This window comes from Homo sapiens, chromosome 11 (genome assembly GCF_000001405.40).
Source record: "Homo sapiens chromosome 11, GRCh38.p14 Primary Assembly".
In the NCBI taxonomy this organism is placed as follows: Eukaryota; Metazoa; Chordata; class Mammalia; order Primates; family Hominidae; genus Homo; species Homo sapiens.
Window position 1 is genome coordinate 45,514,806 of NC_000011.10, and position 25,774 is coordinate 45,540,579.

A 25,774-nucleotide genomic window follows, 5' to 3' on the forward strand; every position below is an offset into this window, starting at 1 on the left:
CCCACCTTTAGCATAGACTTAACTTCCATAAACCCAGACCCCTGTTGGGATCCAACCCCCAGTCACTGGTTACCAGTGGCTCAGGCAGCCTGGACTTTCCAGGGATGCCACTGAGACGGCGCCCCTTAAAGAAGCAGTGGTTTCATTTCTACATTGAGGATCTTCAGATAAAGTCTGCCATTTTCTTTTACTTCCTGAAAGTCAGAGTGGGCTCGTGAAACATTGTTAAACAACATGTTAAATGTGAAATGTCAACCCTCACTCTAAATTTTCCCTGTTCACAGCATCAAATGAAGACCTCGTCTAGTCTTATAGTGGCTTTCCGATTTGGGCAGCCCATTGAAGAAGGGAGTTTGAACGTTGTCGTATACCATTAATGCTTGTCTGCCCATGTCTTGCCTGAAATACGACAATTGTTTATCGAAAGTATCTTTAATCAACCTGGATACAGTTTGGCTTTGGGAAAACAGGTAGTAAGTGTGGGGTGGAGAAGGCTACAAGAAGAGGCAGGTGCAGAGGCCTTGGAGAGGAAAGAGTGAGGGGATGGGTGGCAAATGGAGCCTGGAAGGGTGAGGCCTATGGCTTCAAATGGTGTCCTTAAGGTAATGCCTCAGAAAAAAGCAGAAATCACAAATTGTTTTTCCCCAGTCATTGAAACTGTCCTGGGCCAAGGACAGTGGGATTGAGACTGACATTTGTGAAGCACCCGGGATCCGCTAAAGACTGAACCAGGTGGCCTGGGTGTCATCTCCTTTGAGTATGGCCACTGCCCTGTGCAGAAGGTGCCTTATTTATTTATTTATTTATTTATTTATTTATTTATTTGAGACAGGGTCTCACTCTGTCACCCAGGCTGGAGTGCAGTGGCATGATCTTGGCTCACTGCAACCTCTGCCTCCTGGGTTCAAGCAATTCTCCCGCCTCAACCCCCTGAGTAGCTGGGATTACAGGCACGTGCCACCACATGCTGCTAATTTTTGTATTTTAGTAGAGACGGGGGTTTCACCATGTTGGCCAGGCTGGTCTCGAACTCCTGGCCTCAAGTGATCCAACTGCCTCAGCCTCCCAAAGTGCTGGGATTACAAGCATGTGCCACTGTGCCTGGCCAAGAAGGTACTTTTTTCAACTTTATAGGGCAATGTTTCAATTTCATAAAAATCTACCCACTTCCAGTTTACAATGCAATTATTTTTAGTAAATTTACCAAGTTGTGCAGCTATCATCATCTATCACCCCAAGTTTTAGAACATTTCATCACCCCAATAAGATTCCTTCTTGCCCATTTATATCAATTCCTGTTCCCACCCCATGCCTGCCTCCAGGAAGCCACTAATTTAATTTCTGCCCTGTCATATAGAAATTGAGTCTATAATATGTGGTCTTTTGTGTCTGGCTTCTTAATGCTTTTGAGGCTCACCTGCGTTCTAGTATATATCAGTCATTCATTTCTTTTTATGGCTGAATAGTATCCCATTGTATGGTTATATCACATTCTGTTTATCTATTCACAAGTAGATGTACATTTATGCTGCTTTCAATTTGGGGCTGTTATGAATTATATAGTTTGGATATTTGTCCCCACCCAAATCTCATGTTGAATTGTAATCCCCAGTGCTGGAGGTGAGCCTGGTGGGAAGTTTTGGGTCATGGTGGTGGATCCCTCATGATTTGGTGCTCTTTGTGGTGCTGGTCATTCAAAAGTGTGTGGCATCCCCCACCACTCTCTTATGCCTGATTTCACCAGGTAAAGTGCCTGCTCCTGTTTCACCTTCCTCCATGAGTAAAAGCTCCCTGAGGCTTCCCCAGAAACAGATGCTGCCATGCTTCCTCTATGGCTTACAGAACCATCAGCCAATGAAACCTCTTTTCTTTATAAATTACCCAGTCTCAGGTATTTCTTTATAGCAATACAAGAACGGCCTAATACAATGAATAAAGCTGCCACAAAGACTTGTGGGTGCAAATTTTTGTGTGGGTGCATGTTTTCATTTCTTTTTGATAGATGTCTAGGAGGAGAATGCTAGATCATGAGGAAAGTTTATGTTTAACTTTTTAAGAAATGTGCTGAAGGTATTATTATCACCATTTTTCATACAAGGACACTGAAGCTCAAATAGGTCAGGTGACTTGTCCTGTGACACTGGGTCACAGCCAAATGCGGGACGTCAATGAACCATAACACAAATCATGGTCTGTATAAATCACTGAATAGCCCATGAGTCCCTTGGTAGGCCCTGCTTTCAAAAGGCATCTTCCTGTGGACCTATCTGCTGTTACATGCTTGATATTCCAGCATGAGCACATCTTTCCATTGAGTTAAGTATTGCTTCTCTTTGTCCACTGCAGGATGAATCCTGACATGTTCATTCCCAAAGACCTTTCTGAAAATAATCTCCAGCCAGCAAGCCTGGAGCCTGAGAAGGGACGGCAAATGGGAGACAAAAGAGGTGGGAAGAGGGCCTGGGAAAGAGGCAAAGATGGTCCTGGTCGCTGCCACGTGCGCCCAGGCCAGTCCTATGCTGGCGTGTGTTCAATGCTCTTCAATTCACATTCACGGGGTGTCCGCCCTGGGCCAGTCCCTGTGCTGAGCACGTGAAGGGAGGCAGGGCAAATCAGACCTGGTCCCTGCTCTTAGCTGATAGCCCACTGGGGCAGGTGGCTTCACCATCACACACCAGAGAGGTGCTATATAGCAGGGACACTGAGTATCCCAGAAGCCAGAGCAGGGAGGGCAAAATTCCTGCTAGGGAGATGGGAAATTCTTCCCGGATGAGGTGGCACTGAATGAAGCCTTGGAGGATACTTAAGATTCTACAGGAGGAAGGGCTTTCCAGGAAGAGGGTTCTGCATGAGCAAAGGTGTGTGAGTTGGGGTGGGAAGAGGAGTTCGAAGTGGACCTTTGGGCACTTCCCTTCGCCTAGAGATTGAAGACCTAGATCAGAGCTTGCAAAATTGAAATGCCAACAGGGAAAACACTTCTAATTATTCACAAGGCAATCCTGTGGCTTGAGCACACGAGTGACCTGCCCTCTGAAAGGCCAACAGATGAGTGAACCAGGCCAGATAGGAGATGTAATGACCTGGGGCACCCGCATCTTGTCTAAATGGTCGGCCACTATTCCACCAGAGCCAGTTGTTACTCTGTGGGAATGCAGGCCCAATATATAATTTTTGATTTTTCAAAAGAAACTAGAAAATCCAAATATTTATGTGAAATATCCAGATCTTGCAGTGCCATAAATGCATTTCAATTGTTTTTAACTCATCTGTGGGTCAGCCTTTGTCCAAGGGCCTCCAGTGTGCAACCTGAGGCCTATGTGCCTCGGCCAGATTAAAGCCCTGCTCTCCAAACCCTCTCTTGGCCTTTGAAAAAGGGCGCGTCCCAAGGCTGCCCCTCCGGCCCGAATCTTCCTCCTGCTCAAACGGGATTGGCTGGCGGCGAGGGCAAATCAGAACACAGGAGCTAGGAGGGGGCGGGACCTCATGACAAAGCAGAGGGCAGGTGAGCGAGCAGTCATCCAACCCCATCAGCAGCCCGTGTATGGGATTGACGGATTTTAATTACATGTCATTCTAATCCTTAACATTTATCTAAAAAGTGACGGGGGCGGGCATGAGGGCGGGTCACGAACATGCTCAGCCCCAGGATTGCCCTGTGTCTAATTAGAAGTTTTCTCCCTCTTGATCACCTAAAGTCAAATTCATTTACTCTGCTCGAATTGAGGGTTTAATTGGATTCTTGTTTTTCCTCCTCCTGCCCTCTCCCCCATCTCCGTAGGCCTCTCTCCGTGCAGGAAGTAGGCCACAGCATCTCATTAGGAGGGAGAGCATCCCTTGGCAGACTCGCATTTATGACTGTTCATACCAGCCTGCAGCCGCATCCTTGGCCCCAGGTCGCTAGGATTATTGAGGCCATCGTGATTTAGGACCTTGTCATGATGTCTGATGGGCACCAAGCATGGCCCCAGACAAAGGTAGGCCTCTTGGCCCAGGCAGGGCCCTCCCTCCTAGGCTGGCAGGGCCCTTCCTGCCCCTCCCTGCTAGGCCAAGAGGTCCCCAGTCCTTTCAATACGTTGTGCTCCTGAATGGGCTTGATAATCCAATTCTGGGAGAAAAGTGGTGGAGAACAGCAATTAAAGGCCGACCCAACTACATCTGGGGATGTGTGGAGTCACTAAAACCACTAATTCTGTTGCCACATAATGAGGTTTCTTCCCTTTTTTTGTCACCCTGGTCTCCCCTTGTCAATTAAGGCCAAGCACAGAAGAGATTGGTTACAGGAGGGTGAACGAGCCTGGAGGCAGCTGATAGCCCACAGGAAAATTTCCTCCTCTAGATCAGACACTCTGAGGGTTCTGGGGAAGGGACACAGACTCTGGTCAGAAAGTCTAGGCTCAAGTCCTGGCCCATGGGCTGGAGATGTGTAATGCAGAAGAGAACTGGCTTGGAATCCAACACAGTTCCATACAAACCCTGTGACCTTGGGACTGTGACCCAACCACTCTGACCATCAGCTTCCTCTTCTGTAACACAGGGTTAACCTAAGGTTGCTATGAAGAGACATATGCCTGACATGTGGCAAGAACCCAACACACAACAGATAGCAGAGTGCTGTATTATGTTTAGGCCCCTAGCAAGGCATTTGGCACGCAGTAAGTGCTCAATAAAGGGTAATCTCTAGTATTATTATGTGACCTCACGCAATTTGAGGCTTTCTTGGCCTCAGACTTTTTACCTGTAAAGTGGGGACAGAGACTGTCCCTGCCTTTCTCTTACAGTTGTTTAAGGAGTAAATGGGTTAATTCACATTTAGAGAACAGCATCTGGCTCAGAGTTAAGGCTCCCTGTAAGTTAGCAATGATTGTTCTGGTAGCTTTCTGAGCTTGAACGAGTTGCTTACCTTCTCTGAATCTCAGTTCTCTCTTCTGAAAAAAAAAAAAAAAGATTTAAAAATAACACCATCTGTCGTGTCTACCACACAGGGTTGTTGTGTGGTATTAATTAATCAGATGAGATAGTGTTGATGAGAACATTGGCGATCTGTAAGTGCTCTACAAGTATTAACTGTTAGCATCATGCCATCAAAAGGTAATTAGTTGGTAAATAAAGACAAAGAGTCAAGCATTTTTCCCATCTTTCCTATACAAACTGTACTACTGGGTACCGAAATTGCAGATGAGGGGATGTTTCTCCTTTTAGAAGTATTCCAGCTCGTAAATGAGGAAGGGATGATAGGATTGGAATCTCACCATTTTGCAACCCCTAATGGATTAATGGATCCAAGCTGTGAGCATCCATACCTCCTGACATCCCCAAGCTGGAGACAACAAGCATGATGTGCCTCCTGATGGAAACGCACAGCACTGTGAGGTTGTATGACTGAAAAAGCCAACCCTGAACCTGATCAAGCCTCAAAAATGAATTGTCGACTTACAGGAAATACAGAAGACAGAGGAGTGAAGCCACCATGGGGATGCAATCAGGAAAGCCCACATTGTGGAAACACACAGGTCAAGCATCTGGTTTCTTCAATAAATAAAATTTTTAAAAGAGAGAAATAGGGATTACAGATTGAAAAAGACTTAGACATATCAACCAACCTCATTTGGATGCCAGTTCAAACAAACTAAAAAAAATAAATAAAAGTAAGACATGTATAAAGCAACTGGAAATGTGAACAGTCACTGGACATTTGATCTTATTAAGGATTTATTGTTAATTTTTAGAGAGATAATTGTATTATGGTTATGTAAAAACAGTATAAAAGTGTACTGAGATAAACATGGATAGAATATATGGTATACAGGGTTTGCTTCAAAAACAATATGGTGTGGTGGGTGAGTATAGAAATGAAACAAGATTGATACTTTTTGAAGCTGGGTAAAAGCTGTAGGGGGTATCATTATAATACTCTCTATTTTGTACATGTTTGAAATTTTCAACAATAAAATGTTAAAAAGAACAACTGAATTAGTCAGGGACAAGCCTTCATCAGGCATCCTGAGATTGCATGTAATTCAAGCGCTACAGGGGTTATTTTCATAAGGACAAAAGGCCCCAGTGTCAGTCTTTCTGAGATGGGTGGCTCTCCCTTTCAGTTCTTGACAAATTTGTTCTTTTTGCATGCCCATAGTTACAGTCTCCAGGATAGCATACAGGTTGGCTTTACAGTCATTTTTAAATAACACTTGGAGTTTCTCACTGTATTAGTCCATATTCACACTGCTATGAAGAAATACCCAAGACTGGGTAATTTATAAAGAAAAAGAGGTTTAATGGACTCCCAGTTCCACATGGCTGGGGAGGCCTCACAATCATGGTGGAAGGCAAAGGAGGAGTAAAGGCAAGTCTTACATGGCAGCAGGCAGGAGAGTGTGTGCAGGGGAACTGCCCTTTATAAAACCATCAGACCTCATGAGACTTATTCACTGTGACGAGAACAGCACGGGAAAAACCTGCCCCATGATTTAGTTGCCTTCCATCGTGGAAGGCAACTCCAAAGACACGCGGAGATTCCCAAGACACGTGGAGATTCTGGGAGCTACAGTTCAAGATGAGATTTGGATGGGGACACAGCCAAACCCTATCACTCACCTTCTGTCTTTTTCTGAAACCATCCTCTGGGGCTTCTGAAGCAATGCTGAGATAGTCAGGGAAGACTACCTGAAGGAGGTGGCCAAAGAGGAGAAAAAGATATTCCAGCCAAAGCAAAAGCTCAGAGGCAGGCAAGCTCACAGCTTTTACAGACTAGTGAGGAGAGGGGCCTGGCTGAAGCAAGGAAGGTTTGGTGCTGGGGCAACCTTGGGTACTGAAGATTCACTCAGTACTGGAGCCCTGAGTGTCTGATGAGGTCTGGTTTCCTTGTGACACTGCACAGCTCAATAGCTCTGAATGCTCATAAAAGAAAACCAAGTGTGTTTCTGTGATTTAATAAGGTGTTGGCATTACACAAGCTGAATTAGCAGGGAAAGAAGATGAAGCAAAGAAGGGATCAGGAAGAAAGGGGAGCCTCTTACACAGGTACCAACACAGACCAGAATCTCTCAGAGTATTCAGAAAAATCCCAATCCTTCAAGATCCTACATGAAAAAGGAGGATCCCAAACTCCATGGACAAGAGTTTGGGAAATACTGCATTGGTTCCTCTTAGAGTCACAATTTTCATTAACATGTAAAGGTCCTGAGAAGTCCTATAGGAAATAAAACATTTTGATTGTGTTTTACTTAGAGTTTAACCACAAAACACCTCTATTTCTCTGTTTTGGGGAAACCCTGCCTTAGATCATAAGACACAGTTGTACAAAGCCTCCATACCTTCTGGTTCTAGACCTATTTGTTGATCTGTGACCCTAATTCCATACTTACCCCTGAGGCCCCCAGCCCACACCCCCACCTGACTTTCAGTCCCACAGCTGGGACCAGAATCTGTGCAGTGCACTGAGGATGCTCCAGAGCAAGACCCAGAAAAGACTTAGGGTCTCACCCAGCCTGTCACCATGAGTTCCCAAGCATGGATTTTAAATATGAATGAAGTAGTCATATTACATGGGGAGAAATATGGGGGAGTGAGTACCAAGACACCTTCCCCTCTGCTGTGGTTTCAATGTTTCCCCCAAAGTTAACGTGTTGGAAACTTAATCCCCAATGCAACAGTGTTGATAGGTGGGACCTTTAACAGGTGAATAGATTAATGCTATACTAGCCCGTCCTCGCATTGCTATAAAAAATACCTCAGACTGTGTCATTTATAAAGAAAATCGGCCTAATTGGCTCACAGTTCTGCAGCCTGTACAGCAAGCATGATCCTGGCATCTCCTCAACTTCTGGTGAGGCCTCAGGAAACTTACAATCATGGCAGAAGGCAAAAGGGGAGCAAGATGTCTCACCTGGTAGGAGTAGGAGCAGGTGGAGGGTGCTACACACTTTCAAACAACCAGATCTCACAAGAACTCACTCATTATCACAAGGACAGTACCAAAGGAATGATGCTAAACCATTCATGAAAAGCCACCCCCATGATCCAGTCACCTCCCACCAGGCCCCACCTTCAACACTGGGGATTATAATTTGACATGAGATTTTGACAGGGACACAGATACAAACCATATCACATATTATTGTCACAGGTGTGGGTTAGTTATCACGGGAGTGGGCTTCTGATATAAAGGATGGCTTTGGTCCCCTTCCTCTCTCATACAAGCATGCTCTCTTGCTCTTCCACCTTCTGCCTTGGGATGATGCAGCAAGAGAAGGTCCTCACCAGGCACAGTCACCTGGAACTTGGACTTCCCAGCCTCTAGAACCACGAGCCAATTAAATTTATATTTATTATAAATCACCCAGTCTCAGATATTCCATTATGGCAACATAAAATGGACTAAGACAGCCCTTCACTCTCTGAAACAGTATAAGAATTGTTGGCCTAGAAGGTCTATGGCCTGTAATGCTGGCTCAGACTCTGTGTTTCATTAAAAGTCTTTGTCCTTGATCCCGGGGGCAGGCTCTGTCCCTTTAGCTTGAGCACTGCAGGAGGACTCACCTGGTAGGCTCCACGGCCAACCTGTACAGTATTATCCAGGCTGTGCCATTCCACCCAGCTGCCAACATCCAATCTCAGTTACTGTATAGAGCATGAAAAGGATCCTCTCTTGCCCCCTTGCTGGACTGAAGCTGCTGATCTTAGAGTAGGAGGGGTCCATGAAGGGAGATGCTCCCCAACTCCCACCCTTCCTATGCATGACTCATTCAAAAGCTACATCTTGAGCAATTACCATTACCATGTGCTGTTATGGAATCTGAGGAGACAGCAGTGAACTAGCAGTGGGGGCCGGGACAGAAAGTAAAGTCTAAACATAATGAGCAAATTGGTATAGAATAATAGAATGACAAGAAAAACAAGAAAAATGAAACAGGAAAAGAAGATGAGTATCTGGGGCAGGGGTGTCTACAGTCCTAACTTTTTGCCTTAGTTTTCTCCATAGCACTTACCATCATCTGGCCAACTATATCTTTCACTCATTCATTTGTTTAGTGTTTCTCCTTCCACTCCAATGGGAGCTCTGTAGGGCCAGGAAGTTCGATCTCTCTTGTTCACAGCTGTTCCCATGTAGTAAATCCTCAATAAGTATTTGTTGGACGAACGAAGCAGTCTGTGTGTCTGGCATCCTTCCTGACATCCCCTTCCCTCTCCAGGGAGAGAGTTTATCTCAGCAGCTGATGGGAAAGAGCGGTGGAGCACCCTGGCTGCAGCCTTGACCAGTGGAGGTTCTGGCTGCAGACTTTACCTTGTGGCCCAACCTCCCCCCATCACCCCGGATCTCACTCAGCCTCTTCCCCCAGGGAGAGTGTATTAGTCTATTCTCACAATACTATAAAGAACTACCTGAGACTGGGTAATTTATGAAGAAAAGAGGTTTAATTGACTTGCTTTTCTGCAGGCTGTACAGGAAGTATGGCTAGGAGGCCTCAGGAAACTTACAATCATGGTGGAGGGCAAAGAGGAAGCAAGCACATCTTACCATGGCAGGGCAGGAGAGAGAGAAAGAGTGAAGGAGGATGTGCTACACATGTTCAAACAACCAGATCTCATGAAAACTCACTCACTATCACAAGAAGAGTAAAGGGGAATTCCTCGCCATGATCCAATCACCTCCCACCAGGTCCCTCCCCCAACATTAGGCATTACAATTCAACATGCGATTTGGGTGGGGACACAGAGCCAAACTATATCAGAGGGTGAACCCAAGCCTCACAGGCCTCCCAGCCTTCAGGAGATGGACAGCTGGGAGATGACCTGATGGCTGCAGGCCCAGAAGGCAGGTCAGTGTCCAGCTGCCATCACTGATCCCCAGGGTGGGTGCAGCAGCTTTTTCCCTGCTCCGCCCAGCCAGGGCCATCCTGCTAAACAGACATCAGGCCTCATCACTCCTCTGCTGAAAGACCTCTGGAGGCTCCCATCTCACTCAGAACAAAAACCAGTGTCTTTGATCTTCTCCCACAAGTCCAGTGTCTGGCCTCTCCCTCCACCCTCCCATAATCACATTCTGAGCCATGTCTTCCCAGCTTCACTGTCTCCCCTGGCTTGTCCTCAGATATCCATCACACTCCTGCCCCAGGACCTTTGCACTTTCTACTCCTTCAACCTGGAACTTTCTGTCCTGGTATTCACATGGCTGGCACCCTCTCAATGTTCAACTAGCTGCTCAATACTGCCACTCCTCACAGAGGTCTTCCCTGACCAGCCCACCCCAAATTGTCACCCCCTTATCCTTCTCTATCTTTTTTGGCTTTCCTTTTTACTTATGGCTCTTCTTACCACTTGACATTATATTATATATGTATTCAATTGCTCATTGTCTGTATCATAAGAATACAGGCACCACAAGGACAACAATGCTGCTACTTTATTGACTACTGTATTCTCAGCACCTGAAACAGTGGCAGGCACATAGTAGGTGCTCAGGAGATTTTTGTTGAATGAATGAACAAATGAGCCAGCCTGTCAGTGGGCACCTCGCGGAGACAAATTCCCCAGGGAACGTGGGCAATGCTTCTGTTTCCTGGTCTACCCTTACACATAGAAGCTGGGCCGGGCTGGGGCTCAGCCCCTAGTCTGGGAAAATATTCCTCACTGAGACAGGCTGAGGGTTCAGAGTTCCCAGGAAGGGGAATGGACACACCCTCCCTCCATGTATTGTGAGAGTAGCCTCTCTATCTCCCTACCTCCCTGGCAGGTGGCCAGCCAGGCTCTCCAAGCCCTGCAGGGACAGAAAGCCCCCTCCCTGTCTTACCGAAAAGAATTAATAACAGAATGGGAGGGTGATCTGATGACAAGAGCCATATGTTTCAGAAACGTGGAAACTCCAGAAAACACAATGCAGAAATAAACCACAAGCCATGTATATACCACTTTCTTTTTTCTTTTTACAAAACTGAAATCCAATGGCCCACTTTATGTTGTAACCAACTTTATTCTTAACTTTATATTGGCATTATGGTTTGGCTCTCTGTCCCCACCCAAATCTCACCTTGAATTGTAATAATCCCCATGTATTGTGGGAGGGACCCAGTGGAAAGTAACCAAATCACAGGGGCAGGTTTTCCCATGCTGTTCTCATGCTGTTCTCACTATCTCATGATAGTGCATAAGTCTCATGAGATCTGATGGTTTTACAAAGGGGAGTTCCCCTGCACATGCTCTCTTGCCTGCCGCAGTGTAAGAGGTGGCTTTGGTCCTCCTTTACCTTCCGCCATGATTGTGAGGCCTCCCCAGCCATGTGGAACTGTGAGTCCATTACACCTCTTTTTCTTTATAAATTACCCAGTCTCAGGCATGCCTTTATTAGCAGTGTGAAAACAGGCAAATACAACCGGGAACACATTCCATATGCCTTTAGACACTTATTCTATAACACTATTCTTAACGGTTGTCTTATATTCTAGAACCCGACAAAACTACAATGGCATTTTTAACCAGTCCCCTGTTGTTGGACATTTAGGTTCCTTCGGATGTTTCATTCTTGGAAACAGTGTTACAGTGAGCACCCTGCATCATACATCTCAGTGCTCACCTCTGACTGTTTCTTCAGGACCAATTCCCTCTCTGGACAAAGCTGGGAGTCAAATCCAGGCTGGTGAAGGAGGCAGCGGTCCTGTTTTGTTCCTTCTGCTCTGAGCAGTGCTTAGTGGTCCTCAAAGGTCCCCCGCACATTCCCCTCTCCTCATCACAGCCTTGCCCAAGACCTGCACTTTTCAAAAGTAGAGCATCCCATGTGGGCAAGTTTGGACATCCTCAGAAAGTCCTTTTTGTGGATTCACATGCGTTTGTCCAAAAGGAACATGTAGTGTTTCACATTTTATTCATGCATATATCAATGTGGTGTCTAGGCTGCTTGAGATCATAAGCAAGTCCATTCCCTCCTCTGAGGCTCAGTTTCCTTCTCTGTATGATGAGTGGATGAGATGGCCTCAGAGTCCCTTTCTGCCCCATCCTACCAGGGAATCTCCAGAAGTGCTGCATGAAATAGAAGGGGTCTCGGTGTGGGCTCTGCCAGCCTGGCTTTGAATACCAGCTTGCGAAATACTAACTATATGATCTTCAGCAGCTTCCTTGAGCTCTCTGTGCCTCAGTTTCCCCTTCTATGTAATGGGGTAACAATAATGTCCGCATCCCACATCACAGGCGTGTGGGGAAGAATCAACGAGATTCACCTGAGCCACCTCTTGACACAGTGCCTGGCTCAGGACATGGTGCTCAGTAAATCTACTTTTATTATGACAACAAGACTTGATCTTTCAAATCCTTTATCTCATTGACCACACTGATGTTGTCCCTGTTTTATCAATGAAGTAACAGGCTTGGAGATAGTGAGACTTGTCTCAGGTCACATGGCCAGTTCAGGGGCATAGCCAGGCTTATCCATGCTCTGACTCCCACTCCAGTGCTGTCTGCATCTGGAATGCAGACCCCCAACAGTGGCCCAGCCCCGCAGTGGTTCCAGGGACCGTGGGAGACCTTGTGGCTGAGGGTCGAGCCTGTGGTTCTTTCATTCCCCCTCCCCATACTTGACCTTCAGCCTCCGCACTGAGGCGCCTTTTTCACAGGGCAAGCATGGGCAGCTAAGAGGAGTGGGTGGCAGCACATGGCACATCAGATGGTCAGAAAACAATGCCAGGTGCTGCTGAGCTGGAAGAGCCAGAGTGGCCAATAGGCTTTTGTCAAAATTTTTTAAAAAGTGAAACTCAGAGGAACATTTTCCTCCCCAGAAGAAAAGGTGTGCAGCCCACCTGGTAGGTAGGTCCAGGCATGGACCCAGCAACAGAGGCAAGTGGAGGACCTGCCCTCCCTGGTGACTCTGGGTGAGCCTCAGCTGGTGGGTTGCAGAGCTGCCCTGGCCCCAGAAGACTCAAGGCTGCCTTAAGACTCTGCTCCAAAACACCATGGAGTCTGTGCTCCACTGGCTCAGGGAATGCTGGGGCCCTTCCACCTCCCTGAGCTTTACCCTGGGGATGGTGATACAAGTCTTCTCTGTTCCCAGGCCCTCCAGACCTCCTTGGATGAGGAGCAGAGAAGGATCCGGGCAGGTACATGGCCCATCTTCAAAGCCCACCCAGCAACAGCCCAACCCCTCACCATCACCCTGTCTTCCCCCAGCCCAGGAAATCACCCTGCGCCTTCCAAATCTTTGGGTTTTCACCTGGTTCTTTCTATCCTCCACCACCCACCACCACCTCCACCCTCCACCCACACACACACATTTGAGCTTCAGTTTTGACACTCAAAAGACAAGAACTGACTACTGACTTCCACTGAGTCATCCCTACCCTGCAGCAGTGAATTTCCTGAGCCCAACTGCCCTATAAAGAAAGAGGAAATGCCAGAGAAAGAAGAAAGATTAATATTTCAAAAAAGAAAACCATCTGGCCATATAATTTTACATTTATTCTTATGATCAGTTAATCTCTATCTCCCTTAGACCATAAATTCCATGAGGGCAGGACCCGCATCTGATTGGCTCACTGTCCTATCTCCAGTGTCTAAGACAGGGGACCTAACACACAAGGAAGAATGAAGATCAGAAGAATGAAGAGCCAGCCATCCTCCTTTCTTGGGTTCCCTAGGTGAGCTCAGAAAGGACCCCTAGAAGCACAGAATGAAGAGGTTGAACCAGACCTGTGGTTGCTGAGCTGGGCTCTATGAAGGCAGTTGTGTGAATCTTGTTTTCAAGATTTTAAAAAGTCTAACAAAGTCAATCCTCCTCACCTTCCTGGGACAGCTTACACAAGCTCACCAAGATGGCAGCCTCATTGATTTTTCCCAACTGTCCAGGGACTCTGGTTAACTATTAATGACATCACACACCCCAACCCAATTCCAGCTTATGAGCCCAGTACTGCCAGTGTCTACATGGCATTAAATGAGCATGTGACGGCCGTTGGCTTCCCTGTGAGTGTGGGTTGTGGTAGAAAAAAATGTGGCAGGGAACACAATGCAAATTGTCCCCTAAAGATCCAAATGAGCTTTGATGGAGAGAAGTTTTGGAACCCTAACTTAACAGATGCTTGGAGTTCCTCCCAGAACCAAACACCTCAGGTGGGCACTTTCTTTCCCAGATCACTTTCTTCGTCATCAAAAATACCCTGAACCCTGGTGCAGAGGTTCACACCTGTAATCCCATCACTTTGGGAAGCCCACACGGGAAGATCGCCTGAGCCCAGGAGTTCGAGACCAGCCTGGTGAAATAGTAAAACCGCATCTCTACAAAAAAAAATTTAAAAAATTAGCATGGTGGCATGCATCTGTAGTCCCAGCTACTTAAGAGGCTGAGATGAGAGAATGGCTTGAGCCCAGGGGTTCAAGGCTGCCGTGAGCTAGGATCACTCCACTCCAGCCTGGGTGATAGAGCGGGACCCTGTCACTTAACAAGATAATAATAATAAAGTCCCCTGAGCCCAGAAGGAGGGAGAGAAGGGAAGTGGAAGGAGCAAAGTCATCCCTTTGGATCCTGGGGAAGACTAGCAACAGTTCTGAAGAGATACAAAGCCCTGATTTCCATCAGGGGCTGTAATGGGGAAGACACTGGACCCCTCCCTAGGACCTGCTTTCCCTGGCACCTCCCACTTCCCCTGAGTGGAAAAGCAGGCCCAGGGCTGGCTCCTAGGGCCCACAGCCCAGAGCCTGCTGCATGGGATTTTAAATTGTCTCTCTCAAAGTCGTTGCCAATACCAATATTAACAACGGCTCACTCTTAATGAACTGCTTACTCTTCTCTGGCCATGAGTCATGGAGGGCATTTTACAGACATTTGCTCATTTCTTTTCAACCCTCACAACAAGGCCTTGAGAAAAGTATAATATTATGCTCATTTTACAGATGAGGAAACTGAGGCCCAGAGAGTTATGATAGATTATTGCAGTAATGGCCCCCAATTTGTTCATGCACTACCCTGGGCAGTGCCCTTCCACCCTGGCTCAGGACTTGACCATGGGACTTACTTTGGCCAATAAGAAAGAAGCAAGCATATTCCAGGCACAGTGGCTCACACCTGTAATCCCAGCACTTTGGGAGGCCGAGGCAAATGGATCGCTTGAGCTCAGGAGTTTGAGGCCAGCCTGGGAAACATAGCAAAACCCCATCTCTGCCAAAAATACAAAAATTATCCAGGCATGGTGGTGCACGCCTGTGGTCCCAGCTGCCCAGGAGGCTGAGGTGGAAGAGCTGCTGGAGCCTGGGAAGTCAAGGCTGCAGTGAACCATGATCATGCCACTACACTCCAACCTGGGTGACAGAGAGAGAGCCTGTCTCAAAAAATAAAAAGAAAGGAGCAAGCATAATGCCTGCAGGGGCTCGAAAAGTGCTTGCACACTGGGGCTTCTCTCTCACTGCCTCTGAAGCCCTTTTACCACTCTGTGAACAGGCGCAGGCTTGTGGAGAGAGCCCCATAGTTCATCATCCCAGAGGAAGCCAAATTAATCAGCCAGTTCCAGGGATCCACCAGCTAATGGCAGACACAAGAGTGAGCCCAGCCAAGATCATTCAAGCCTTGCCCAGACCAGGACAGCTCAGCTGATCCCAGTGGAAATTGCTGATTCCCAAATCACAAGCTACATGAATGTTTGTTGCATTAAGCCACAGAGTTGTGAGGTGTTTGCTGCATAGCAAAAGCACCTGACACAGAGGTGAAGTCATTTGTACAAGGTCACACAGCAGGGCTAGAATTCAAACCCAACCTTTCTGTGCAGTTAAGAGCATGTGCTCTTAACACTAAAGCTGTAGTGTTTACAAAGTCCATTTATTTTCATTGCAGGTCCCTAGTGAGTCTATGAATCGATCATCTCTGCGTGGAAACTCAGAGATGTCAAGGGACCTACCTTAGGTCACACAGCTGCTAAGAGCTGGCGGAGGACTTCCAGCCCAGTTCCTTTAATTCCACCTTCCTGCTGTTCCTGCCACTCCATGAAGGCTGGAACAGCCAGAGCCCAGGGTGCTGGTTTACAAATCAGCCTCTTCCTCAACCTCTGAGGTCCTCCACAGTCCTCCTTATGTCTCATGAAGGACCCAAGGTTCTACCTCCCGCCATGAGTTTCTCAGACAGAACAGGTGGCACCCTCGCTGGGGAGTCAGGACAGTGGAGCCGCCTCTTCCCAACCCTCACCCTCCCCTCCCTGTATAGTAGGAGCTGTCGGTTGTCCTGGATACAGCAGGTAATGGGAAGGATGGCAGCTGAGGTCACAGCGTGAACCAGGATGGCTGTGGGCAGGGAGAAATGGCTTCCCAGACATACTTGTGCCCTTTCACCCAGGCTGGAGTGAGAGAGGAGGGTGCAGCTGGCCTGGCCATGCCCATGCTAGCATAGGAGACCAGAGGTCCCGATGAGATTCCCGGGATGGGCTGAGAGTAGGGGGAGGTGAGTCAACCGCCCAGGCCTCCCACATCTAATTGCAAGGCAGTGGAAAGGGAATGTCATATACCCATGTGGAGTCCCATGAGGTGAAAACAGCCACTTGAGGGTCCAGCTGAGGCCCTGGCCTGATTGAGTAGCTACAGAGTAAGGACCTAGGAACGAGGTCTCCTTCCCAGAGGAGGGACTTGAAGTGATGGGGTCCCTTTACCTCCTCCAAAACCACAACATAAACAAGGAAGAGGCAGCTGTGGCCCAAGGCAAAGAAAATGTCTTAAAGCCATTCTGACCCAGATTTGACTCCCACATCCCCTCCCTACCACGCTCGACAGATTCCTCAATATCTCCGAGCCTCAGCTTCTCATCTGGCAAATGGGGGCAGTCATCACAGATCTCGTGGGTTGTTGCGAGGCCTAAGTGAGAAAATACAGTGAGAGCTTCTTGTAAACCACAAATGCTACATACATGTACATAGAGGTGATGCAGGAACGCCATTACCCCGTTGCCCATCTGGCTCCTCCAGACGCAGTGGTCCTCCAGCCCTGGATGAAACCCCATAAACTTCACTCCTTAGAGCTCAAAGGGCCCATTAGAAACCATCTGGTCCAAACGGTCTGATTTTACAGATAGGGAAATTAAGACCCAGAGAGAGAGGCTTTGCCCAGAGTCTAACAGCCAGTGAACATCGTGCTGGCCCTAGAAGCGGGTCTCCTAACTCATACTCTTTCTACTCCTTCAGGCTATCAAAGCTACCCCTACCCTCTGCGCCCCATCTCTCTCCACTGTGGTCTGCCCCCGGGTGGAACTGAATCAGGGAACCTTCTCTCTGCTCCCTTATTGGCTAACACATCCCCTGTTTTGAGTGAAGCCATGCTGCTGAACCAGAGTGAAACCATGCTGCTGAACCATTAAGAGGCTGGGCCTCCCCCAAGAGGCTCCTGGACAGTATCTGTGCTCCAAATAATTTAAAGTCCTGGGTGTAGCCCTGTGAGAGACAGCTGAGATTTTAAAGCCTTTGGGGATCCTGCCAATCATATCAGCAGCTGCCCTTGTCCTAACTGGGGTCACCAATGGCTTCACCACAGCCCTGAAGGGAACTCCCTCACCCCATCCCAGCCATCAGAGAAAGATTGAATTGTTTCACATCCTAGACATAATCCAAAGTTCACAATGGTTACCAGAGCTGAGTTATCCCTTTTAACTCTCAGAGTGCTGAAAAGTTTGTTTCCCCCTTGTGGGGTGTTGCACGTATTCCCTACTTTAGTCATAGTGCCCCCTCCTTCCTAAGCCCACTCAGCCCTCTGCTCGCCAATTGAGGAGAGTTGAGGGGACAGTCTGGCTCAAAGCCCCTCCCTGGAACTGTCTTCCAATAATACCCTCCCTGAGGTGTCTGCCACCCTCTCTCCAAACTCTTTCCAAATTAAGAACCAAGCTCCTTGCTCACCTCATCTTTCCCAGGGTCTTCCAGCTCCAGCCAGCCCACCAGATGCCCAGCTCGACACCCACACTCCAAGCTGCCAACAGGCAGGGCGGCCAGCCAGACTCAGTGGAGACAGGCCAAGCCCAGAATTCAGTCCCAGCCTCATCCTCCAGGCCAGCAGGCAAGGGTAGTTGAGATAATGATGAGGAACTCCAGCCCCATTTCTGAGCTCCAGCTCAAGCCTCAGCTTCCTCCTCTGTAAAGCAAGGGTAACTGTACCTTCCTCCCAGAGCTGCTCAAGGATGAAGTGAGACAGCATGCATAGACACCTTGCCTGAGGAGGCTTCCAAAAGGGTCTGGTCCTCACCTCTTCCCAGGGGTGGGCTTTGCAAGCCTCCTCCCTGCCTCCCTTGGGCCTGAAGATCGTCTTGGTCTTGACCTCTCCCTGCAAAGCTGGCAAATGGGGGCAGTCATCACCGATCTCATGGGTTGTTGCGAGGCCTAAGTGAGAAAATGCAGTGAGAGCTTCTTGTAAACCACAAATGCTGTGTATATGGAGATGATGTAGGGACACCATGACCCCATTGCCCATCTGGCTCGCCCAGACCCAGTGGTCCTCCAGCCCTGGATGAAACCCCATAAACTCCACTTCTTACAGCTCAAAGGGCCCATTAGAAACCATCTGGTCCAAATGGTCTGATTTTACAGATAGGGAAATTAAGACCCAGAGAAATTAAGACCCAGAGAGAAAGGTTGACCAACGATACAATGAAGAGGAGGATGATGATTTCCTCCTACCCTTTCAACTAGGACTCAGGAATCAGAGCTTCAAGGTCAGGGTTCAAAGTGTGTGGATGTGCTCTGGGAGCAGTAGAGAGGCTGGGGTACTACAGCGGTGTGATCCACAGCTGGAGAGACAGGAGATGAATAAGGAGTGGAAATCATCATTCTCAGTAAACTATCACAAGAACAAAAAACCAAACACCACATATTCTTACTCATAGGTGGGAATTGAACAATGAGATCACATGGACACAGGAAGGGGAACATCACACTCTGGGGACTGTTGTGGGGTCGCAGGAGCGGGGAGGGATAGCATTGGGAGATATACCTAATGCTAGATGACGAGTTAGTGGGTGCGGCGCACCAGCATGGCACATGTATACCTATGTAACTAACCTGCACGATGTGCACATGTACCCTAAAACTTAAAGTATAATAATAAAAAAATAAAAAATAAAAAAAATTTAAAAAAAAAGAAAGGGTAGGAGGGTCCAGAGGTGACACAGTGGGTAAATAGCAGGGGGAGGAGGCTGAGGAGGAGGCAGAAATGAATCTTTCCAAGTCCGCTGCTAGCAAATTCCAACATGACTTCCTTCTTCACAGCAACTTAGCCGAATTTCTATCTTTATTAATCAAATAACAAATTTAATTAATTACTTTAAATTGCTTTAATTGAATCTAGAACGAGAGCGTGGACAAAATCCCAAGAAGTAATGAACCCAGGCATTTCCAGCATCTGGAGTTGAAATGATCTTTAATTTCAATTTGGGAGCAAAAATAATGTGACTGCAGTCAAACCCTCCCCTCACAGCCTGCTCCCTGACAGCTTTGTTACTGCCTGCAGTGCTGACAGGGCCTCCGCACCCTGTTCTTTCACCCTCCTTAGCAGCAATGTTCTTCCTGCCTCAACTTACCTCAACTGAGAAATGGGTACAGGCCCCACCTGCAAGTGTCCTGTAAGTACTGGAGCACAGGAGCTGCTTGGAGATTGTACGGTAACAGAACAGGGAGTGGCACACATTGATCAGACAGCAGCGAAGCTCTCAGGAGCAAGGCACATCCTTGCCTCCGTGCCTCTCCCCGTGCTGTGCTCCCTTCCAGGAATGCCTTTCTTTACCCTTTTCCAGCTGTTGCATCCCTGCCTTCAGTTCTGATGGCTGGTTCAAATGTCCCTTTCAAAGGAAAGCTGCTCCCCATCCCCCACCCCAGAAAGGAGTTGGAGAGATGAAAGTGTTTTCCCTGGTTGGCAGTTGCCCTCCAAGTGGTAGCTCTGGGCCAGTAAGAGGGAAAATGGAACACAACCAACTTTTTTTTTTGGCAGGGGTCATGGTGGGAAGAATATATTCTCTGGATGTGAAGATGAGGCGAGAGAGGCTCAGAGAAGTGAAGTGATTTACCCAAGATCACACAGCTGGGTAGTGGTCAAGCCACACCTAACCCTAGGCCTGACACAGCTGCCTTTCTGTCCCTGGCTGGGTATCAGAAGAAAAAACCCAAAATCCCCCTTAAAGCTCTATCTTGCTGTCTTCTCTCCACCCTGAGCCAGTAGATCCCATCAGTCCCCTCTCTCCCTGCTCCCTAATACCCTCTCTCTCTTCTGATTCCACCCACCCTTGCCTCTCAGGCCTCTCTCCAACCGGGGCATACCTTTGTTCCAGCCTGACCTCCAGGTGCCCTGTGTTAGAAGAATGCTAAGGCAGCCAAGGTACTCCTGAGTCTTTCATTCTTATTATCATGGTTATTATTTTGTATTACTATTTTACTATTAGTCTTCCCCTCAGCTGCCAGGTCTCAATGGCATCCTTTCCATTGTGCCATGCTCCTGCTCAAACACCTACCATGGCTCCCTATTACCTGTAGCCTCAAGTTTAAACACTTCTTTGGGCTCTTAAGATCCTCCAAAACTTGGTTCCACAAATGTCAGGCAGTTGCCCCAACATACTCTATGCCCCTGGGAAATTTACTTAACTTTTTTGAACCTTCATTTTCTCCTCTGTAAAGTGGACATTGTAATCCCTAACTTATAAAACTGTGCTGAGGATACAATGAAAAGAAACCTATGAAACCCAGCGCAGTGCCTGGCATCTCAGTTGCCTTCAGGAAATGTGAGTGCTCATTCCAGCCACGTCTCCTGCCTCTCTAACCTTACTTCCCGCTGGGCTGCCACACACATTCTCAACTCTACCCAGGATGGAATCTTCACTTCTCCTGGAAAAACTTTTATTAAAAAAATTTCTACCACATCCTTCAAGCTTCAACTCAGATGGACACACCCCTAATTCATGATTCATTTGGGGACTGGGAGTAGTGCATGGTCTCTCATCCTGTCTCCAAGTAGGATTTGGTGTAAAGCCAGCCCAAGAGGCGAAGCCCAATCTCACTCTCCAGGGTTAGGGACGAGGAATTCCCCATCAGCCAGGATCTCTGAACACCAGATTCTGGCTAGAGCCCCTGCCCCATCCAGCACTCCATGACACCTATCAGGGTCCTGCCCACCCCCTCCAGGAGTGTCTCCTCACTTTCCATTCTCCCTGAAACAATCTGCTGCTTAGCAAAGTGTTTTTAGGCATTAAAGCACATCACACCCTTCTTTTCTCCCAGAAAAGCTCTTATTTTCCTGAAATCTCAGGAGCCAGTTTTTCCTGCCAAGAATATTCCACCTCAGCCCAATCCCAGGAACTGCAGAAGGATCGAGATGCTTGGAGGGACCCCCTCCCGCTCCCCTACACCCCTTTCCACTCCAGCTTCTGCATAAGGGAGCAACCCTCCCATTTACTGATGGGAAAAGTGGGCCCCTAAAGGAAAAAGAAAATTTGTGTGTCCAAAGTCAAAGAGAGAGTTGGTGCACCAGGAAACAGAATAGAAGATACTGGTAATTCACCTTCCCTAGTGGGAGATCTAAAGCAGAGGTCATCCAGAGTTGTACGAAGGATCAATGTGATCAATAACAGGCCCATTATAACATTTAGGGGCCTGGCCAGGCATCTCCTCTCTCCACAGGGCTTCCATAACAAATTACCAAAAATGGGCTTAAAACAACAGAAATGTAATCTCCCACAGCTCTGGAGGCCAAAAGTCCAAAATCAGTGTCGGTAGGGCTGCACTGTCTCTGGAGGCTCGAGGGGAGAGTCCTTCCTGGCTTCCTGCAGCTTCTAGTGGTGCTTGGTGTTCCTTTGCTTGTGGCACCCCAGTCTCTGCCCTTCATCACTCCAGTCTCTGCCCCTGTCTTCACGTGGCCTTTTCCTCTGGGTCTGTCTCAAATCTCACTCTTCTTTCTCTTATAAGGGCATCTGTCAGGATGCTCCCATCTCAAGATCCTGAACTCACTTACATCTCAAAAACACCGCTTCCAAATAGGGTCTCATTCACAGGTCCTGGGGGTCAGGACTTGGACATATCTTTTGGAAAACACAATTCAACCCATTACACCACATGAGCCCTGCCAACCATGAGGCCTCACTGCCTCTGAAACTGACCTCTTTGGGTTTGCCTGAAAGGGCTTTGGCAGCCTCAGCCTGGTAAGCTGCTCACCTGTCCCAGACCTCTGACTCTCTAGAAAATGGCTCAATATCTCTTGGACCCTCCCTGATGACCTTTATTAGAGGGGCCCTGGGAATTTTCTGCGGGTGAAGCATGATGTGATCTCAGAAGCCAGGCCCCAGTGCCAGGGAGATGAAGTTCCATTCCTGGCTCTACCACTTGTCAAACCTGTGACTTTACATAACTCCCTGTGTCTCAGTTTCTCCATCTACAAAATAAAGGCAGTATCCTCATCAGTGGCTCTTTGTATTAGAAAGACATAGTGAATGCCCCGGCAGGGCATGAAGTTGGTGTCCATAACCAGTTACTATCATGGTACTCCCACCTTTCATTTATTCCCGGGGAAGCATCTCCCCAGCCATCCCCTGCAGGGGCCTCAGCCTTCCTCTCAGTCTCCAAGGTGCTCAGGAAACTTCTTGTCCTCATAGCGTCTCCTGAAGGATACATTGTTATTCCCATTTTGCAGACAAGAAAAAGCATAAATATGGGTGGCACAGTTTGCTCCAATGACAGTCACCCATCTTTAGGGGAACACTGAGTGAAGCGCCCCATGCACGGGGATACTCATTTTTTTGAGGTCTGTTTATTTTGACTCCCTCCACTCTCCCACCGTCTGGTCACCCATGGCATGGCTGTCATTAGAACAAACACTCAAGGCAGTTTGTCTTTCCCCTACATTCCCCCATCCTGGCCTCATGACATCCAGGAGTGGGGGTCAGGCAGGGCAGATGTCATTGTCATTGTTACACCCATCTTGCAGATGAGAGGATGGAACCTAGCTAAGAGAGGAGGAACCTAGCTCCTAAGATCACAGCACTTTGTACTGGCAGTGGCAGAACTCAGATCTTCTGACTCATAATTAGCATTCCAACCATTTCACAACACAGTCCAGAACTCAGTCATTCATTAAACAGTGAAGATATAATAACAACTAATATGGAATATTTTTACAACGCTGAGAGGCAGAGATCCTTTCATCCCCATTCAAGAAATGAGAAAATTGAGGCTCAGAGAAGATCGCAGCATCAGGATTTGAACTTAGGTCTCTGTGCCTGCTCCCAAACGCTCCCAAACCAGCTCTGTACCCACTGTGCTGCACTGGCTGCTGCAAGAAGCTGTTCCACCTGAACCCTGAAAGCCAATCATGGTCTCTGCCCTCAAGACACTCCCAGTCTTGAAGGGGAGGTAAGTCTAGGTGGCCAGGGGCCAGCTCTCTAAGAGGCAAACAGACTCAGAGGGTAGCACAGCTTCCTCCCCCTCTGAGAGGAGCTGCCCTCTCCTCCCCAGAGCTGGATTGAGATCAGAGTAGGACTAGGGAGCTGCCATTCTGAGAAGAACATCCTGCCGATCCCATCCCTGAGATGTCCATTTGGGGTGGGGGCAGGGCAGAGAGGTATTGCCGGTGGGGCTCACTGGGGCTTTGGGGCTGGGGACTTTGGAGGCTCCTTCAATCAGGGAGTTGAGGCTGGGAGGCCTATGGTGAGCACCGGCCACCCCAGCAGAGGGAGCAGATGTCTCAGCCTCTCCCTGTTCCCTGGCAAACCTCATCTTTTATAAATAGTTGTACTTGCTGGGAGCCAGAGAGAGTTGAGGTTTCAGCATCTCTGACAGCCCGGCAGAGCCAGGCCCGTCTGCCTGGAGCTACGCGTGCTCACATAACACCCCCTCCCCAGCCCGCAGCCCAACCGCCACAAGGGTGTCATTGCACCCAGGACGCACGGCGTCTTGGCATGTGCTGGCTCCACGTGGCTGGTGGGTTGTGTGGGCTCTTGGGCAAAGGAACCAAGTAATCAGAAAGCACTTTAGAACAGACGGATTCTGGAGGTAGTGAGCTCCTCATCCCTGGAAGGGTTCCAGGGGAGCTGGAGGTCTATGTAACAGATATGCAATAAACGAGCTTTGGACTCTGACGGATGGTGAGGGAAGAGGGAAAAGGCTGGGCCACATGATCCCAAAGGGTCCCACTGTACATCTAGGGTGGCATAGGTGGGGACTGTCAGGGCCATTGGTGGCTTAGCAAGACTGTGACCTCCTTCCCAAGCTTTAAGATGCCCAGGAAGCTCACCTGTGTGGGTTCCTGAAACCCTCTGCTTCATGCGTGAGCCCAGCAATTTCTCTGGATTCAAGAATGCCAGGAGAGATTCTGTCCAGCATGTGGGATGCATTACTCATTAACTGCTCGTCACTGAGCATTTGTGCAGCTCCTTCAAAATACACCAGTGAGGCTGCCAGCTCCCCAGGGTTTCTGAGAAGCCCAGATGCTGGAGCAATATTCCCCAGCTCCTCTGATCTATGGGGAACCCTTGTTAGAGTAGGGAACCTGTAAGCCTCCTCAACTTTGGAAACTCTCCACTTTCTAAAGCTGAAAACTTAGGAAATCCTTGACCTTTGGGATCGGAGGTGAGTGTTCCCAATCTTAAGCCATAAGGACAGGGACCAACTCTGTCTTATTCACTGCTCCTCTTGTCCATGGTGGCATTTAAATAACTGTGAACCAAATGGATGAATGACTGAGTGAACAAATTACGTAAAAGTCACCGCATCACCTCCTTGCAGGAAGGCTGAGTCACTTGTGAAGTGTGCCCTCTGTCCTCTCTCTGAGGAGGTAGGGGACAAACATGATGCTCTAGAAAGGATATCACCTCTGGGGTCAGACTAACTGGGTCCCAGTCCTGGCTCTGCCTCTTATTGGGTGCATAACCCTGGGTGAGATCCTCAACCACTCTGCTTCATTAGCTGCAAAACAGAGATAATAATCCCTACCCCATAAAGATGCCATGAGAACATCTGAGATAACATTTTTAAATTGCCGAGCATCTAGTCAGCACTCCATAAATGATGCTGGTGGTAGTCATTAGTGCCATTCTCCAAATGTTTGCAGTTCTCTTTCCAAGCACATGGTAGAATCCTACTTCCCCACCTTCTTGAAACTGGACATGGCCGTGATTTGCTTTGGCCAAATCAATGAGACCAGAAGTGATGTGCCTCTCCTTAATGGAGGCTTTAAGAGGTCATGTGTAATTCTCCACATTCTCTTCTTCCTGCTTCAGCAATCATAGCAGCAATAAGGTGGAATCATGACCAGCCTGGGTCCTGGAACGAGGAAGACGTGGGGCAGATCTATCCAGTGGCCCTGGATGGCAAGGCACGAGGTAGGTTGTAAAGATGGCCGCAATTATTCCTCCCCTCCCTGTGTGCCTTCCCCTCTGCCAGATGGCTTTGCTATTCCTCCCATCCAGAGATGAAGTCCATTCCTACCAACCTTGAACCTGCTCAGCCATGTGATTTGCTTGGGCCAATGGCATATTTTTAAATATGATACAAGCAGAGGCTTGTGAAGTGCTTGCATATTGGAGCTCACCCTGTTTCATGGCTGGGAAGGAACTCTTCTGCCACTATGTGAAAAAGCCTCAGCTAGCCTCCTGGAGGAAGACCACATGGAGTGAGGCAAGGCCCCAAATGTCCTACCTGAAATCCCAGACATGTGAGTGAGGCCACCCTAAACCATCTAGCCCCATCTAAACTGGCACAGACCAAAATAACCACCCAGTCAACCCACAGAATCAGAAAAAAATATTAAATGTTTTTTGTTTTGAGCCACTAAGTTTCAAATGGTTTGCTACTTGGCAAAG

The 25,774-nt window shown here is 48.1% G+C and overlaps 1 long non-coding RNA gene across 2 annotated transcripts in view; it reads right to left on the bottom strand.

Moving 5' to 3' along the window:
• LOC105376654 (uncharacterized) overlaps positions 1-25,774 on the bottom strand; it is a 55,627-nt gene that overhangs the window by 27,958 nt on the left and 1,895 nt on the right. Inside the window, exons 2-4 of one of the 2 annotated variants that reach the window (XR_931245.4) lie at positions 18,618-18,727; positions 18,187-18,320; positions 16,720-16,812 (exon numbers count right to left, since the gene is read on the bottom strand). This is a non-coding gene — a long non-coding RNA (uncharacterized LOC105376654). Of the gene's footprint in view, positions 1-16,719; positions 16,813-17,843; positions 18,321-18,617; positions 18,728-25,774 lie in introns of both variants that reach the window. The other variant, XR_001748204.3, reaches the window with a different exon arrangement.